The sequence below is a fragment of the Homo sapiens genome, chromosome 10 (assembly GCF_000001405.40).
Source record: "Homo sapiens chromosome 10, GRCh38.p14 Primary Assembly".
NCBI lineage: Eukaryota > Metazoa > Chordata > Mammalia > Primates > Hominidae > Homo > Homo sapiens.
The window spans coordinates 55,584,894-55,603,592 of NC_000010.11; the positions used below are offsets into that span (position 1 = coordinate 55,584,894).

Genomic DNA, 18,699 nt, shown 5'->3' on the forward strand with positions numbered 1-18,699 from the left:
TCATAGGCACTTGAAAGTAGTATTTGAGTAATATATAGTTTTTTTTTAATCCCTGGAAAATTTTGACATCATTAATTTGTTAAGTAAACCCTTCTTGCTCAGTAAATTTTTTCATATTCTATTCAGATAATGGAGAATTATAAATTAATCTATATTATTAATACTATATAAAATTAATTCCTTATATGTATATTTATGGAATTATTGTAGCCTTTTTTCTTCCTTCCTGTAAAGAAGAATAACTCTTTGCAAATAACCTAAAAATTATGATCCTACAGCCTCACGGGATTACTGGGGATTGTTTTGTTCACTCTTCCTGGGGGTAAAAAATTACATGGATAACAGAGACTAATGTTCTTGAAGAAAATCAGTGCTTCCCTGGCATTTCAGGAATCAAATTCTCAGCTATATCTTCTTTTAAAGATTCAGAACACTATAAACACTTTTTCATTAGATGCCAAACTTCTGTTACAACACTTCACTGCTCTAGAAATAAATTTTCTGGCCGGGCGCGTTGGCTCAAGCCTGTAATCCCAGTATTTTGAGAGGCCAAGGAGGGCTGATCCTGAGGTCAGGAGTTCAAGACTAGCCTGGTCAACATGGTGAAAACCATCTCTATTAAAAACACAAAAAATTAGTGGGGCATGGTGGCGGGCGCCTGTAGTCCCAGCTACTTGGAGGCTGAGGCAGGAGAATCGCTTGATCCCAGGAGATGGAGGTTGCATTGAGCCGAGATGGCGCCAATGCACTCCAGCCTGGTCATCAGAGTGAAACTCCATATCAAGTAGGTATGTGTATATATATGTATACATACATACATCTCAAGTATGTATGTGTATATGTGTGTGTATATATATATGTGTGTGTGTATATATATGTGTGTGTGTATATATATATGAGAGAGAGATAGACTGTTCTGTTAATTTTAAATAGAATGGAAACATCACAACTCAGGATAATTTGCTTGTCAAATTATACATAGAACTACTGTTCTGCCAGGCAATTGTTGATCTTAATCTGCTGTTTTCACCGTATGGGGTCTCTATATAGGATGAATCTCCACATTTTTGGTCTAAATGTAAAAGACTCTATCCAGCTCTCACTTATGTGTATGAATTCAGCCTAATCTGTTTGGAAATCATCATCATCACCATCATCAAATAGTAATACTCAAATTTGACAAATGTTCTCTATTTTCTAAGTCTTGGGCAAAAAGGGTCATTTCATTAAATCTGAACAGAAATCTCATGACATAGGTACTATGATTATTCTTGCCTAATAGATATAGAAACAGATGCCAAAGTATCTCACTCAAGATTATATGACTCATAAGTGGCAAAGCTGGTTTTTAAACTCTCATCTAACTTACTACGAACCCCATAATTCAAATATTATTTCAAATAATAATATTATTTTAAATATTTTAAGTAATTTCTATTTTAAATAATTTGATTAAAGACCAAATGCCTTGCCTTCTTTTCTAGAATAAATGCAAGCTACCAGTTCCTTGCACTAGCCTAGGCCAGTCTTGTAACTGAAACCCATTGGATTCAAAATCTATTTCAAGTACTTAACTTTCTTCTGAAAATTCCCTCAGCTATAAATTTGAGGTTGGTGATAATTGCAAAGATGCCAGGGAAATTTATAATCATTACTGAACTAATCCTTTTGAAAATATAAAGCAGCATTAAATGTTAATATTACTAATCTTTCTAATTAGATAAAGGGGCAAATGTGTCCAAAAAGTCTGTAACTAAGTTCATTACTCTCATTTATGCAGCTAAGCTTAAGTTCTAACAAATGTATGTTTTAAGTTGATTAAAAATATGGTTGGCTGCATTTATAAATACCCATTATTAACAGGCTATATTGGTAAATATATTTTTGCTCTTATGACAAGAGAATGATGTACTTTGGTCAAAAAAATTATACCTCAATAATTATCTGCTCTCCTTCTATTTTTATTTGCAATAGAAGTGTATTTATTCATGCATTTGTATTCCTATTGAATGAAGGATGTTATGTCACTTGCATTGGGTACATAGGCATCCCTTTTGACAAATAAAATCAGAATCTAAACTACAGAACCAGGTTAAAGTGGGAACAGAAGTACAATTTTAATAAAGGCCAAAGTTTTGCTAGTGTTTCACTTAAAATTTGTTTTTAAGCTTTCTGAATGTTCTCTCAAAGATAAAGACTTAATCATATATGTACCTTTTTTGTATTGTTAACAGGGAAGAAACATACTAATATGAATGGTATTACATACATTATACATGTTATACAAGAGAAGAAAATTATATATTCAAGATAAACATTTTTATAATCACAATACTTCAACATAAATATGTTCAATATAGTAAAGATGGAGTTTGTATGATTTGTCAAGCAAATTCTTCTCAATTATGTTTACATTCTATTTAAAATCAACATTAATGTTGACAATATTCATATATAAGGCTTTTTAATTATTTAAATGGGTTCAAATTTGCTGTGTTCAGTATTATTAGTAAGAAAAGTAGGCACTGGTACGGAAAAATATATATTTTTAGCTCCCTTCTATGAGTGTTTCCATTAAATGCTATGGTCTCACAGTTTTACATGCCTCTCACCACCTCACTGCTCTTGTTGCCTATAATATTTTATTAGTTTAATCCTTCTGAAATAATCCTGGTCATTCAAAACCAATACATCAAAATCTTCTAGAGTGAACAAAAGAAAAAACATTTGTGAAGATTAAAAGAAAAAGGAGACTTCTCAGATATAATAACTTTAAAGAATACATATTACAATGGTGGTTTGATATAAAGATAATTTAGATCCATCTACTTTGAAAAGATGCTTTCTTGACAGTTGAAATTTTTTACACTATTTTAAGTGTTTTCCTCAAGAATTTCTTGTTAAGAGGTCGTTTGTTAGCTTTCAAGTTCCTTGAGGCCTGGGTCTGAAAGAGTATCTGAACAGTGGGTGCTCAGTACAGGTTTGTTGAATTGAACCAGAATAATGTCAGTCATATCAAAAAAAGAATAAGAGGGAAAAAGAAAGAAAGCAGAGCAAATGAACCGCTTTGGTTTTGACACTTGTACAAGTGCTGAATCGACAGCATATGGCCAGGTATAACCTAGTGTGTGAGTGGGAAGGTGGATTAATCTGGGCTGACCTTTTCTAATGGACAAAGCAACTTGGATCCTCTATTTTAAAGCGCTTAAAACTTTGATGTAGGAGGTGTTACATTATTTGGTCTTGACTTGTCATAGGCCTCTGTCACCTTATTAGCAAATGCAAACCTGGGGCTACCTTTTTTGCCTATCTGGTAGATATTTATGGCAAAGACAGCAATAAGGAATTCCAGAAAATAAGTTGCTGGCAGCTAAGACTCTTTTACTTATCTGAATGGTACCAAACCCACAAACTTCTTTGTGAGGTTTGCAAGTTGCCTGCTTCTGAAAATTTTTACTGTTCAAAGCTGACATTAATTCAAAGCTACCAAGTATTATAGATGGCTTGCCAAAATACAATATGGATCGTAGTTTGTATAAAAACAAAAATGAAACAATTAAAAGAAACCCCACACACATAAAGAAAGCTCGCACAAATGCAAGAAGACCATGAGATGGTGTGTCTTAGTTCTGGTATGACAATAACAATTTAATGTCAATTCATAATTTTATTAAGATGGGAGTCATAATGATCATGTGCCATGTGAGAATATTTGAGACAGATCAAAGAAGAGAAAAAAGAATAAAACCTCTAGTATTACCAAACCTTTGCTCTATTATCATTTCTGAAAAAAAAAATTGTAAAACTAAGAAAAACTGGGACATTTTGAAGAAAATGAAGTCAAAAAGGTGAATATAAAATTTTGCTCTAGCAACACTATGAAAAACTGTTCGAAATAAAGGAATAGGCAAGGCAAGGAACCTCACACCTGTAATCCTAGCACTTTTGGAGGCCGAGGTGGGTGGATCACCCGAGGTTGGGAGTTTGAGACCAGCCTGACCAACATGGAGAAACTCCATCTCTACCAAAAATACAAAATTAGCCTGGCGTGGTGCCACATGCCTGTAATCCCAGCTACTCGGGAGGCTGAGGCAGGAGAATTGCTTGAACCCAGGAGGTGGAGGTTGCAGTGAGCCAAGATCCCACCAATGCACTTCAGCCTGGGCAGCAAGAGCAAAATTCCGTGTCAAAAAAAAAAAAAAAAAAAAGAAAGAAAGGATTAAAGTTACAAAATCTCATGCCTATGTCCTGAATGGTAATGCCTAGGTTTTCTTCTAGGGTTTTTATGGTTTTAGGTCTAACGTTTAAGTCTTTAATCCACCTTGAATTAATTTTTGTATAAGGTGTAAGGAAGGGATCCAGTTTCAACTTTCTACATATGGCTAGCCAGTTTTCCCAGCACCATTTATTAAATAGGGAATCCTTTCCCCATTGCTTGTTTTTCTCAGGTTTGTCAAAGATCAGTAGTTATAGATATACGGCGTTATTTCTGAGGGCTCTGTTCTGTTCCATTGATCTTCATGTCTAAAACACCAAAAGCAATGGCAACAAAAGCCAAAATTGACAAATGGGATCTAATTAAACTAAAGAGCTTCTGCACAGCAAAAGAAACTACCATCAGAGTGAACAGGCAACCTACACAATGGGAGAAAATTTTCGCAACCTACTCATCTGACAAAGGGCTAATATCCAGAATCTACAATGAACTCAAACAAATTTACAAGAAAAAACAAACAACCCCATCAAAAAATGGGCGAAGGATATGAACAGACACTTCTCAAAAGAAGACATTTATGCAGCCAAAAAACACATGAAAAAATGCTCATCATCACTGGCCATCAGAGAAATGCAAATCAAAACCACAATGAGATACCATCTCACACCAGTTAGAATGGCAATCATTAAAAAGTCAGGAAACAACAGGTGCTGGAGAGGATGTGGGGAAATAGGAACACTTTTACACTGTTGGTGGGACTGTAAACTAGTTCAACCATTGTGGAAGTCAGTGTGGCGATTCCTCAGGGATCTAGAACTAGAAATACCATTTGACCCAGCCATCCCATTACGGGGTATATACCCAAAGGACTATAAATCATGCTGCTATAAAGACACATGCACACGTATGTTTATTGTGGCACTATTCACAATAGCAAAGACTTGGAACCAACCCAAATGTCCAACAATGATAGACTGGATTAAGAAAATGTGGCACATATACACCATGGAATACTATGCAGCCATAAAAAAGGATGAGTTCATGTCCTTTATAGGGACATGGATGAAACTGGAAATCATCATTCTCAGTAAACTATCACAAGGACAAAAAACCAAACACCGCATGTTCTCACTCATAGGTGGGAATTGAACAATGAGAACACATGGACACAGGAAGGGGAACATCACACTCTGGGGACTGTTGTGGGGTGGGGGAGGGGGGAGGGATAGCATTAGGAGATATACCTAATGCTAAATGGCGAGTTAATGGGTGCAGCACACCAGCATGGCACATGTATACATATGTAACTAACCTGCATGTTGTTCACATGCACCCTAAAACTTAAAGTATAATAGTAATAAAATAAAATTTAAAAAAAGAAAATAATAATATCATGATACTGTTCTTAACAGTTCATCTCAATTTTGTAGACTTATATGCTTCTGCCACATGTTAACTTGTCTTGGTAGTAAAAAGACAAAAACAGATGGATGCTGATTGCTTAATGGCAGAAATATTTGTCTGTAGTTTTTGCTACTTTATAAAATATTACAAAGGAATTCAGAGGTGGGCCAAAACCTCAAACTTAATTGAAACTCTCTAGTGTTGTCTGACAAATTAAGATTGTAAGTCACTTTATTATACAGCATCTGGTCATATGGTATATCATCAATGCCAATTATTTCTTTTTTCTTTAAAAACTACAATCACTACATATACACAGTTCCTGCACTCCTAGTAAGAGGTTTTGTTATACATAGAAGTAAGCAAGTTTAATGTACTCATTTCCTAAGAAATAAGAGAATTATCAATGTTAATGTTAGCCAAAAACGTGTTCTTAATGCTCAGTTTGTACCTATCATTAAAATTTAATATAATCTAACCCAATTATCAAAAAATAAATAAAACAAAATCTCACAAAGAGGTTCCATTGCCTTAACTTATCTAGCAACTATATAATAACATTTATCTTCTATCAAAAACACCGAGATAGTTTTCATTTTAGCAATTTACTTGTTTGGCACTCTACATACATTGCTTCATAAAATATTTAAGGTTATGATAGGCAGTCCTGGTGTGGTGGCTCACACCTGTCATCCCAGCTCCTGAGTCCAGAAGTTTGAGAACAGCCTGTACAACATAGTAATACCCCATCTCTACCAAAACTACAAAAAAATTAGCCAAGCATAATGGTGTGCACCGATAGCCTAAGTTACTCTGGAGGCTGAGGTAGGAGGCTTGCTTGAGCCCAGGAGATGGAGGCTTCAGTGAGTGGAAATCAGGCCACTGCACTCCAGCCTGGGTAACGGAGTGAGACTCTCTCTCATAAATAAATACATAAATAAATAAAGTTATGATAGGTAGAACTTTTTCAGTATTTAAAAAAAAGGTAAGTGGTCATCATCCACATTTTTCAGTAAAGAAAAAAGCAAGGGGTCAATAATTAAACATAATTAATTAAAATAAAATTCAAGATTTAAAGGAATATCCTATTTGACAAACTTTTGCTTTCTTTTTCTGTGAAAATCTCACCTGAAGATGTCTGAGTATCAGGGGAGGAGTAAGGAGGAATAGGCAGGAAAACCTGGCTAGGAGCAGGATGTTTAGCTTTCATTTGACACACAGCTGTCAAACTGCACTGTGTGTCCTTTTCCATTGTAAACAGTCACATAATACATAACAAAAAAATTTTAAAAAGCAATGCATGTATACTTCTAGTTTATATGTTGATTTATTTGAAGAGTCGTAAATTATTAAATACTAAGATATACTGTATTAGATGTGTAATACACATACGTTATATATACATGACATATATGTATACATGCTACACTTGTTTTCATAGACATTGAGTTCTATACATGTAAATTAAAGTGATAAGGATTTTCAAGATCTCACTGAAAGAATACCTCTTAGAGTGAAAATCATAAATGAATATACATAACGTATTTCTAGTAGAAAAATGAATTCCCTTGTCTAGATGCAGTCAGTCGTGAGAAAAAAATAAAAGGAGGAAGATATCTTTAGAGATTTCTTATTGCGCCGGTATTTTTCATTTGCCCTGGCAAGTCCAATCTCTATTCTTCTCAAACTTGCTCTGTGCACCCAGGAGGCTGAAATATACAATGTATTATTTCCAGGGCTCCCTTACTGCCTGATGTCAGTGGGGTTCAGCCAATAAAAAGCAGGAGCAAGTGACTGGAGGAAGAGAGAAGAACAAGAACTGGAGGAAGAGAGAAGGGTTTGGTAAGTAGTTACACTCCTGGCTCCCTCCTGCTTCTAGGAATGCTGGCATTAACTATTTCCTTGACCAAAACTCAAAGATCCAGCCAGGCAGCTCTGTCCTCACAAGCTTCTCTGTCTATGGATTTTAGTAAATTATTTACCTCTCCCCTATAGGACTAGGAATGATACCAGGGTCCCTTTATTACTAACTGAGAGGTTCTAGACTATTCTTGTGTGGCTTCCCTGTGGGGTGCCCAAATCTTTATTCCATGTTTCTCAAGTTACCACATCAGTTATCTTTTGGAAACCTGAATGCACACCTAAAATATCTAGAAATTTGAGACCTTTGTTTTCTGGATCTTTTTCAAGAATTAGTTTAGGTGCTGACTTGATAGGAATTTAGCAGAGTATTTTTTCAAAAATACACTTAAAACTACGTCAAACTGTTATTTAATTATGTAATATATTTGTTGCTTTATCTAATTAGATTTGCATTTCTTATATATACCATGCATATAAAAATATATTTGATACAAATTATAATACAAGGCATACAAAACTAGACCATTATAATAACAGAACATTTTCTAAAGAGATTTTAAAAGTGTAAGTCAAATGCCTTAACGTAATACTACTTCTAAAGTGTATTCTAAAGAAATAATCTTCTATGTGTGGTTAGATTTAACTACAGAAATATTCATTGTAACCTTTCTTTAGAAGTGAATATTGAAAACTGAAATAAATCTAAATGTCCAACTTTATAATTGCTAGTTATGGAATACTAACAAATGAAATCCATGCTTTTAAAATAGCATTTAGTGACCCAAATATATGTTCAAAATACGTATAAAAGAAAAACTGGTATGTTATTAAAGAAGATAGAATAAAATTTCTTTTCCAAAATGTATGCTAACAAGACAGTTTTGAAACTTCCGAAAACGAAAATGTTGTTAGGTAATATTTTCACTAAAATTAAATTTTCTGTTTGCTGAGATTATAGGTGTTTCTAACAAATTTTACTGTTGTTTATGTATGCTATAGACACTGAACATGTATAATTTATGTATCAAGGAAAAAATCAGTAAGTTCAATTTTTTCAATAAAAATTAAAAGTCACATAATATATCCGAGAAGATAAAGACGAATTACACTTTATCTGACAAAAGAGAGTGCATGGTTTATGGAGAGAGACAATTTTTTCTCTGGTTTTAGCTCTAAGATATAAAAGGAATTTATTGTATACATCTGGAAATAAGAGGTACTGAATACCTAAAATATATTAAGATTAATTACTGTTTTAGCTTTTTTTTTAACAGTATAGAAGTATTGTGTGATGACTTATCTTATCAACCATTGAAAGAGCCATTTTCAAAGACTGATTAAAATAGAAGACTTCCATAAACAATTTTCACCGAAGCATTGAAAACTATTATCTAAGATTAAGAAAATACTTTTCTAGGGATCCCTCATATCTAGGGATCTAATTACCATTAGATCCACCTCATATAATGGAATTAGGACAACCCAAAGATCTGGATGATTGAATTGTCATTTGGGGATTATTACCATCATACAGCTCAGTTTATGGCAATTTCTATACATGTATTTAGTATTAATTGAAGGAAACTCATAGGAATTAGATGTCAGACATGAGGACTACATACATATCTTTAGAGTGCTTGTGTCCTAAACTGAAAAGTGTATTTTAAGAGTCTGGGATATGAAACCAACTTTTTCTCTATTCTTGTCAAATCCATGTCATTCTAGCTACTGACATAATTTGCACAATATAAGTACAAATAATAATGAGCAAATTTATGTGAAAATATGTTTCCAGTGTACAGGTAGTTTTAACCATTCTTTTTACAAGAAATGTGTGTGTGTGTGTAAATGTCTTAATTGTTATAATGATTAAGTCATTCACAGATGTGTTAACAATGTTTTCTCCATGTAGACAGAGTGATAATAATTTGTATTACATTTTAGAGTTGTTTGATGCAAATAAATAAGAACTCAAAATTTTTTTGAGGTTAAACTTCAAGAAGATGAAAGGAAAACTAAAATCACAAAGTAAAATATAATTAAAACATTTCAACTAAGAAAAAAGTAAAAAGTTAGGCTGTCTAGACAATGTTTGAAGTTTAAGTTGGTTAATTGCAATGGAAAAACTGCTAATTACCACAAATAGTAATTTAGAGACATAAATATTATACAGGTGTGGCTGCAGGAAGTTGATTTTAATCAAACACATTTGGCGTTTCCAATGTTGCAAAAATTACAATTGTAAACACTGTCCAATTCAATCAAATGTTATGTGAATTTTAAGTGAGTCTCAGTAAATTATACTGTATAAAAACAGGATTTTTACTATGGATCATAATTGCTAATGTGTTTCATACTCGATGTTGAAATATAAATCAATTCACTCTCTTATTTGGTTTGGAAATTTAAGAAGACAATTCAAATTTCCCCTGATACACTCTACCAGTGTCACTGGACTGGTGATGTGACAAGAAAGGTCTTCTGTAGAACTGAACTGCAATAATATGGAGACTGTAACAAAATTACATATGTACCTAAGAATATTGACTTTAAAAGCCTTCTTCAGATTGCAGCATTGATTTCTAGATCTGTTGGGAACTGGCTGCCTTACTTAATGTAACAGTCTTGGCAATAGAATAATCATATTTATCACCCATGGATAATTAATTTTTAATCATTGAAATTCACTGAAATATGTTGAATATGAAAACTATACAAATATAATTTTGTATGCTACGATAAGTTTCAGATTCTTTGAAATTTTATTCTAACCATCAATCATAATGGTATAGTATGATAAAGGTAGAACATGTAATTATAAATTCAACATTTAGGAAGTTTATTTTTCTCTTCTTTTTAATTATCTCAAAATGATCTTGATTTCTGCAAAGTATTAGTATATCTGGTAGGTGAGAGTCTATTTCTTTTAAACTTCATCTGTATTAACCAGCTTTATACCACCAAAATGTCCCCCAAATTTAAAACTTTACACAGTAAGGCCTTATATGCACACCTGGCCTCATTTCAAAAGACTAAAGCAGTGGTTCTCAAATTCAGCTGCACATTAATAGAAACTGGAAAACTGTTTAAGCTCCTGATACAAAGCCACATGTCAGACTAATTTATGCTGAATCACTGGGCCAAGGACCCAGACATCAGTATTTTTAAAAACTATGGAGGAATAACCAGGATTAAGAACCACTGCACAAAATGGTAAATGCAACTTTTATTTAAGTTATTTTTTTAAAGAAATAATGGTTGAATTGATACTGATCTTAGTACCAAGTCACGGCAATTTTTTCTGACTTAGAGAATTCATCCTGGCGTTAAGATTATTAAAGAACCTAGAAATTCAAGTGTTTTTGTTTACATTTTTCCTGTAAATATTAGAGTATGCTAGTGCTCAGCCTTATTTGATAATTTTGGAAAATATATTAAACATTTGAGATTAAATATCAAAAATCTCTAAAATAATTTTAGAAATACCATTCTTCTATGAAATAAGTAAGCTCAGTCAAGATACATATTATAGTGCCCATTTAAGAACGTCTAATAATAATGTTTGCACTGCTTAAAGATTAGGTTGATAAATTAATTATTGTTGATTCTACTTGCATAATCAACAGACACCTAGAGATGGAGTCTTAAGTATAGACACAGAAGTTGAATACTTTTAAGAACTTTTAAATTTACGTCCTGGTTAAATCTTACTCTAAAATTATGTTGCATGGTTGTGATTAGTACATGTGTGATTAGAACCGTCTTTCTCAGGTTATTACACCACCATATAGACACAGCAAAAATAATAAAATTAAAAATAAAGCAAGAAAAATAATGTAACACTTTATTGGCTTTGAGATAATTATTTTGAGATCCTAATCCTACCAAAACATTCTGCTTTTCTTAATTTGATCCTACTTTTTTTTCTTTGCTCGTTTTAATAAAGGATGAACCAATATCCTGAGAAATTTTCAAACAGGGCTGAGTATAACACTCAGTCCCTAGATCTCACTGTATTTTAGAAAAATTGTAAAGTATTTCAAATAATGAGTAAAGTTTCAACTCTGCACCATTGTGTCTTTGTAATACAGGGAAAGTCACTTCACTTCTCTCCCTCTCTCGTTTTTGGCATATGCAAGGCAGAGAAAATAATATCTACTCCAGCTATCCCATAGGTTATTATAAAATATAATAAAAGATAGAAAATCACTTTATAATATTCAAAGTATTAAAAAAGTAAGGCATGATTATATGTGGGATTAACAGCAGTTTGTTATTTACCATTTAATGTATTTTAATGTACGTTTTTGCCATATTTAAAAATTATAATTTTTACATTTTGATTTTTAATTGAAAGAGTAATAGTATGACATTATGCCATGTTATATCTGATGCCATTATGTCAAACAAACAAACAAAAGCATTTTAAACTATTTGGAATATGATAAAAATAAATCTTTTAACTATGATAATACAGGTTTTTGAGGATTTAGTTTGTACAGCAAAAACAGAGGCAATAAAGGCAAAAATAGATAAACAGGATTACTTAAAACTATAAAGCTTGTGCAGAGCAAAGGAAACAGGAGGGTGGAGGGTGGAGAGACAACCTACAAACTGGGAGAAAATATTTGCAAACCTTATATCTCAATGTACTAGTGACTATCACCCTAATAACTAGTCACGGGAGCATTGTCATGCATTTCGTATTTTTTAATTTTCGAGATGCTGCCACTTACCATGGCGGGAGCCTGATCCCTGCGGAATCGATTGTGGCTGGACTTATCTTGAATATTCTGAGTCAACATACCCAACCATAAGGTGCTAATTCATTCATGCTTGAAGGGCATAACAATCAATACACGTTCACGCACACAAGTACGTTCACGCACATACGTACGTTCACGCACACGTACGTTCACGCAGATACGTTCACGCATAATTTAAAGGACTACTTCTGATTAAATCCGAAAATCCACCCTCCCTCCATCTCTGACTTTATTGTTAAATTAGGTAAGAGGTACCCTTGCCGACCCCCAGAAACAAGATACTTAAATTGAACCTAGTCAGAACCCTAAAAATCATAATTTAACCATGAACACTCCAACACTAGCCCCTCGATTAACGTAATTTTCTAAAAAATCCCAATATTCTCCAACCAAATAAAATCTCCTATTTATATGTTAACTAAATTTCTGTCTTAATACTTATATAATACTTCAAGCATCCCTCTCTGAAAAGTGTGTATCCCAGATATTATAGTCCTAAATCAAATATAACTTCAACTACAAATGTCACCTTAGCCAAAACCTCTGCTAATTCAACTTTTTTAAAGGCCCTAAACTTCCAGGACTGCAAATGACCACTTCAGATTTATACCCAACAAGATTCTACCCTGACATCCCCCTAGTATTTCAAAATACCACTCAAATGTTTTTCATCCAGTTAATGTAGCTTAATTATTTAAAGCAAGGCACTGAAAATGCCTAGATGGGTCCGCAAAACCCCATAAACATAGAAGTTTGGTCCTGGCCTTTTTATGAATTCTCAGTAAAATTACACATACAAGCATCCCCGCCCCAGTGAGAATGCCCTCCAGATCACCTGGTTCAAAAGAAGGAGGTATCAAGCACGCATAAACGCAGCTCAAAACACTTTGCTCGACCACACCCCTACGGGAAACAGCAGTGATAAATTTTAATTCATAAGTGAAAGTATGACTAACCTATACAATATTTAGGGTTGGTAAATTTTGTGCCAGCCACCGCGGCCATACGATTAACCCAAGCTAATAAAACTCGGCATAAAGAGTGTTTAAGGTCTTCAGTCAACAAAGTTAAGCTCTATCTAAATCGTAAAAATCTCCAGCTGAAATAAAATATACTACGAAAGGGACTTTAATGTCCTGAGGACACAACAGCTAAGGCACAAACTGGGATTAGAAACCCCACTATGCTTACACAAATAGTTATATTAACAAGACTGTTCGCCAGAGTACTACATGCAGCAGCTTAAAACTCAAAGGACTTGGCGGTGCTTTATAGCCTTCTAGAGGAGCCGGTTCTATAATTGATAAACCCCGATATACCTCACCATCTCTTGTCACTCAGCCTATATAACACCAGCTTCAGCAAACCCTAATATATATATATATATATATATATATATATATATATATATATATATATATATATAGTAAACACAAGTATGCACTAGGTCAAGGTGTAGTCCATGGGATGGTAAGAAATGGGCTACATTTTCTACATCCAGAAATATCTCACAATAACCTTCATGAAATCTAAATGTTCGAAGAGGATTTAGTAGTAAATCAAGAACAGAGTGCTTGATTGAATAAGGCCATAAGGCAAGCACACAAGCCCGTCACCCTCTTCAAGTAGTGCTCTAGAAATCACTATTATTAATAATTGCTTACACACATACAGAGGAGATAAATCGTAACACGGTAAGTGTACTGGAAAGTGCACCTGGATAAACCAAAGTGTAGCTTAACCCAAAGCACTCGGCTTACACCCGGAAGATTTCATTACAACCTGATCGCTTTGAGCCAGCTCCAGCTCCAAGCCTTGCTAAAAAATATTATTAGAACTACTTAAATCAAACCATTTACCCTCGACAAAAGTATAGGAGATAGAAATTACTTATTCTGGTGCAATAGATATAGTACCGTAAGGGAACAATGAAAGAACTATATCAAGCACCAAAAAGCAAAGACAAATCCTTGCATCTTTTGAATAATGAATTAACTAGAATAAACTTCACAAAGAGAGCTCTAGCCAAGTCCCCCAAAATCAGAGGAGCTTCTCCAGAACAGCTAGAAGAGTACACTCATTTATGTGGCAAAATAGTGAGAAGATTCATTAGTAGCAGTGACAAGCCTACGGAGGCTGGTGATAGCTGATTGTCCAAGGTAGAATTTTAGTTCAACTTTAAACTTAACCTACAGAATTACTTAATCCTCCTGTAAGTTTAACTGTTAAAGGGGGACGGATCTTCAGATACTAGAAAATAACCGTCCTATAGAGAGTAAAAGATTTTACCACCATAATTGGCCTAAAAGCAGCCACCAATTAAGAAAGCGTTTAAGCTCAACATCTGACTAACTTCATTTCTAATCACCCTGTTAAACTCCTAATATTACATTGGACTAATCTATTATTCAGTAGAAGCAATAATGTTAGTGTAAGTAACATTAAGACATTATCCATTGCATAAGCTTACATCAGACCAGAATAATCCACTGACAGTTAACAACCTAATATTAACAAATGATTAATAGACATCTTATTATCTTTATTTTAACCCAATACAGTCATGCTCTAAGGAAAGATTACAAAAAGTAAAAGGAACTCGGCACATTTCACCCCATCTCTCTACCAAAAACATCACCCCTAGCATTGCTAGTATTAGAGGCACTGCCTGCTCAGTGACATATGTTTAAGGGTTGCGGTATCCTGAACTTGCAAAGGTAGCATAATCACTTGTTCCCTAAGTAGGGACTTGTATGAATGGCCACACCAGGGTTTAGCTGTCTCTTACTTTCAACCAGTGAAATTGACCTACCTATGAAGAGGCGGGTATAAATAAATAGGAGAAGACCCTGTGGAGCTTGAATTCATTAATGCAAATAGATTCAAACAAGCCAACAGGCCCCAATGTATCATCCCTGCATTAAAAATTTTGGTTGGGGTGGCCGGGCACAGTGGCTCACGCCTGTAATCCCAGCACTTTGGGAGGCCGAGGTGGGTGGATCACGAGGTCAGGAGATCGAGACCATCCTGGCTAACATAGTAAAACCCTGTATCTACTAAAAATACAAAAAATTAGCCGGGTGTGGTGGCACATGCCTGTAGTCCCAGCTACCCAGGAGGATGAGGCAGGAGAATGGCATGAACCTGGGAAGCAGAGCTTGCAGTGAGCGGAGATGGTGCCACTGCACTCCAGCCTGAGAGACAGAGTGAGACTCTGTCTTAAAAAAAAAAAAAATTGGTTGGGGTGACCTTGGAGCATAATTCAACCTCCGAAACGACTTAAACTAAGACCGCACTAGTGTAAGTCAGTTATTACACATTGACCCAATAATTCTATCAACAGGATAAGTGACCCTAGGGTTAAGAGTGCAATCCTATTCTAGCATCCATATCAACAACAGGGTTTACGACCTTGATGTTGGATCGGGACATCCTAAATGGTGTAGCCGCTATTAAGGGATCATTTGTTCAATGATTAAAGTCCTTCGTGATCTGAGTTCAGACCAGAGCAATCCAGGTTGGTTTCTATCTATTTAGCATTTTTCCCAGTATGAAAGGATATGAGAAACCGGGCCCACTTCACAAAGTGCCCTTACAAGACTAGGATTTTTACACAATATGCTATTGGTTACTGAGTGCTATTGTAGAACCGGTGCCCAGGTCTTATAAATTTCAGGTTCTTATGCTTTCCACTAAGCTGCATTGCCCTTCTCCTTTTTTAAAATTTTTTAAATTAATTTATTTATTTATTTATTTATTTTTGGCTCCATCCTACAGACTGTCTGGGAGTTGTGGTACAGATATTTTCAGCCATATTTATGGTAGTTTCCCACCTCACTTGAGGTCTGTGGGTAGCAAAAGAGAAAAGTTAGCTTTTTTTGCCTTTTCCATGCCCTCCTGTTTCTTCACTAAACCACATTCAATAAATGATCTAGGAGCTTTTACAATGCTCCATGTACAAGAACCTCACAGAGGAATTACACACAGTTCCTCCTTCCAGAGAGCTCTCCATATATTACGAGATCAATTTGGCAAAGAGAATTACAATAAAATGCAGAAGTGCTGTGAGAGAGTTGTGAATGGAATGATGTGGAAACACATACACTTATATATTGAATTCTATCCTAAGAAGTTAGGAAAAGTTTTCAGTAAGAGTTGGCATTTGAACTGAATCTTACAGGAAGAAAGTATGGTAAGATAATTAGAGGAGGATGTGATAAAAACGAGGTAATCAAAGTCACATTGAAATGTGTGAATTTGGTGGAAAGTCACTAGTTGTTGAAGGAGAGAGGTAGACAGGAATAACGTAAAAGACAGGAGCCAGGAGAAGTAGATTTAAACTAGATCATGCAGAATTATATACAAGACTAGGATTTTTACACAATATGTTATAAGCAAGTACAAGTAAGTGATGTTAATTAGGTGGATTGAAATAATGGTTGCAAGATAGAGGTGATAGAGAAATTACAGATATATTATGACAATGATATAAAGAATAAAATTGAGTAAAAAAATAGAAAGCTGTTAAACATACCAGAGAAATTATTAAGGTTGAATTAAGGTAGCAGGAACAAAAAAGAATTTCATGTAAGAAAAATCTTCAGATAGTATTGAAAAATTCATATACTGACTAGATACAAGAATAAGAGAGGTAGAAGAAAATAACTCTGAGTTTCCTTGAATGAAAGGCAGATGACAAACTGAATAATTAAGTTATAAAATACACACACACGGGGGGAGGAGCCAAGATGGCCAAATAGGAACAGCTCCAGTCTACAGCTCCCAGCGTGAGCGACGCAGAAGACGGGTGATTTCTGCATTTCCATCTGAGGTACCAGGTTCATCTCACTAGGGAGTGCCAGACACGGCGCAGGTCAGTGGGTGCACGCGCCGTGCACCAGCCAAAGCAGGGCGAGGCGTTGCCTCACTCGGGAGGCGCAAGGGGTCAGGGAGTTCCCTTTCCTAGTCAAGGAAAGGGGTGACAGACAGCACCTGGAAAATCAGGTCACTCCCACCCGAATACTGCGCTTTTCCAACCGGCGTAAAAAACAGCACACCACGAGATTATACCCCGCACCTGGCTCGGAGGGTCCTACGCCCACGGAGTATCGCTGATTGCTAGCACAGCAGTCTGACATCAAACTGCAAGGCGGCAGCGAGGCTGGGGGAGGGGCGCCCACAATTGCCCAGGCTTGCTTAGGTAAAAAAAGCGGCTGGGAAGCTCGAACTGGGTGGAGCCCACCACAGCTCAAGGAGGCCTGCCTGCCTCTGTAGGCTCCACCTCTGGGGGCAGGGCACAGACAAACAAAAAGACAGCAGTAACCTCTGCAGACTTAAATGTCCCTGTCTGACAGCTTTGAAGAGAGCAGTGGTTCTCCCAGCACGCAGCTGGAGATCTGAGAACAGGCAGACTGCCTCCTCAAGTGGGTCCCTGACCGCTGACCCCCGAGCAGCCTAACTGGGAGGCACCCCCCAGCAGGGGCACACTGACACCTCACACAGCAGGGTACTCCAACAGACCTGCAGCTGAGGGTCCTGTCTGTTAGAAGGAAAACTAACAAACAGAAAGGACACCCACACCAAAAACCCATCTGTACATCACCATCATCAAAGACCAAAAGTGGATAAAACCACAAAGATGGGGAAAAAACAGAACAGAAATACTGGAAACTCTAAAAAGCAGAGTGCCTCTCCACCTCCAAAGGAACACAGTTCCTCACCAGCAACGGAACAAAGCTGGATGGAGAATGACTTTGATGAGCTGAGAGAAGAAGGCTTCAGACGATCAAATTACTCTGAGCTACGGGAGGAAATTCAAACGAAAGGCAAAGAAGTTGAGAACTTTGAAAAAAATTTAGAAGAATGTATAACTAGAATAACCAATACAGAGAAGTGCTTAAAGGAGCTGATGGAGCTGAAAACCAAGGCTCGAGAACTACGTGAAGAATGCAGAAGCCTCAGGAGCCGAAGCAATCAACTGGAAGAAAGGGTATCAGCAATGGAAGATGAAATGAATGAAATGAAGCGAGAAGGGAAGTTTAGAGAAAAAAGAATAAAAAGAAACAGAAACGAGCAAAGCCTCCAAGAAATATGGGACTATGTGAGATGACCAAATCTACGTCTGATTGGTGTACCTGAAAGTGATGGGGAGAATGGAACCAAGTTGGAAAACACTCTGCAGGATATTATCCAGGAGAACTTCCCCAATCTAGCAAGGCAGGCCAACGTTCAGATTCAGGAAATACAGAGAACGCCACAAAGATACTCCTGGAGAAGAGCAACTCCAAGACACATAATTGTCAGATTCACCAAAGTTGAAATGAAGGAAAAAATGTTAAGGGCAGCCAGAGAGAAAGGTCAGGTTACCCTCAAAGGGAAGCCCATCAGACTAACAGTGAATCTCTCGGCAGAAACCCTACAAGCCAGAAGAGAGTGGGGGCCAATATTCAA

At 35.8% G+C, this 18,699-nt stretch overlaps 1 protein-coding gene and 1 pseudogene across 1 annotated transcript in view, besides 1 other annotated feature; one reads left to right on the plus strand and one right to left on the minus strand.

The window, feature by feature from the left end:
* The window catches only part of PCDH15 (protocadherin related 15), a 1,825,172-nt gene that overhangs the window by 1,782,123 nt on the left and 24,350 nt on the right, over nucleotides 1-18,699 (minus strand). The window lies entirely within an intron of this gene.
* Nucleotides 14,149-15,835, plus strand: MTRNR2L5 (MT-RNR2 like 5 (pseudogene); annotated as a pseudogene).
* Nucleotides 17,608-18,108: an enhancer, noted in NCBI's record as "H3K4me1 hESC enhancer chr10:57362261-57362761 (GRCh37/hg19 assembly coordinates)". NCBI's record gives its function as "activates a minimal SCP1, AML or CMV promoter by ChIP-STARR-seq in primed H9 embryonic stem cells {active_cell/tissue: H9 hESC(primed)}" and the evidence as "EXISTENCE:reporter gene assay evidence [ECO:0000049][PMID:30033119]".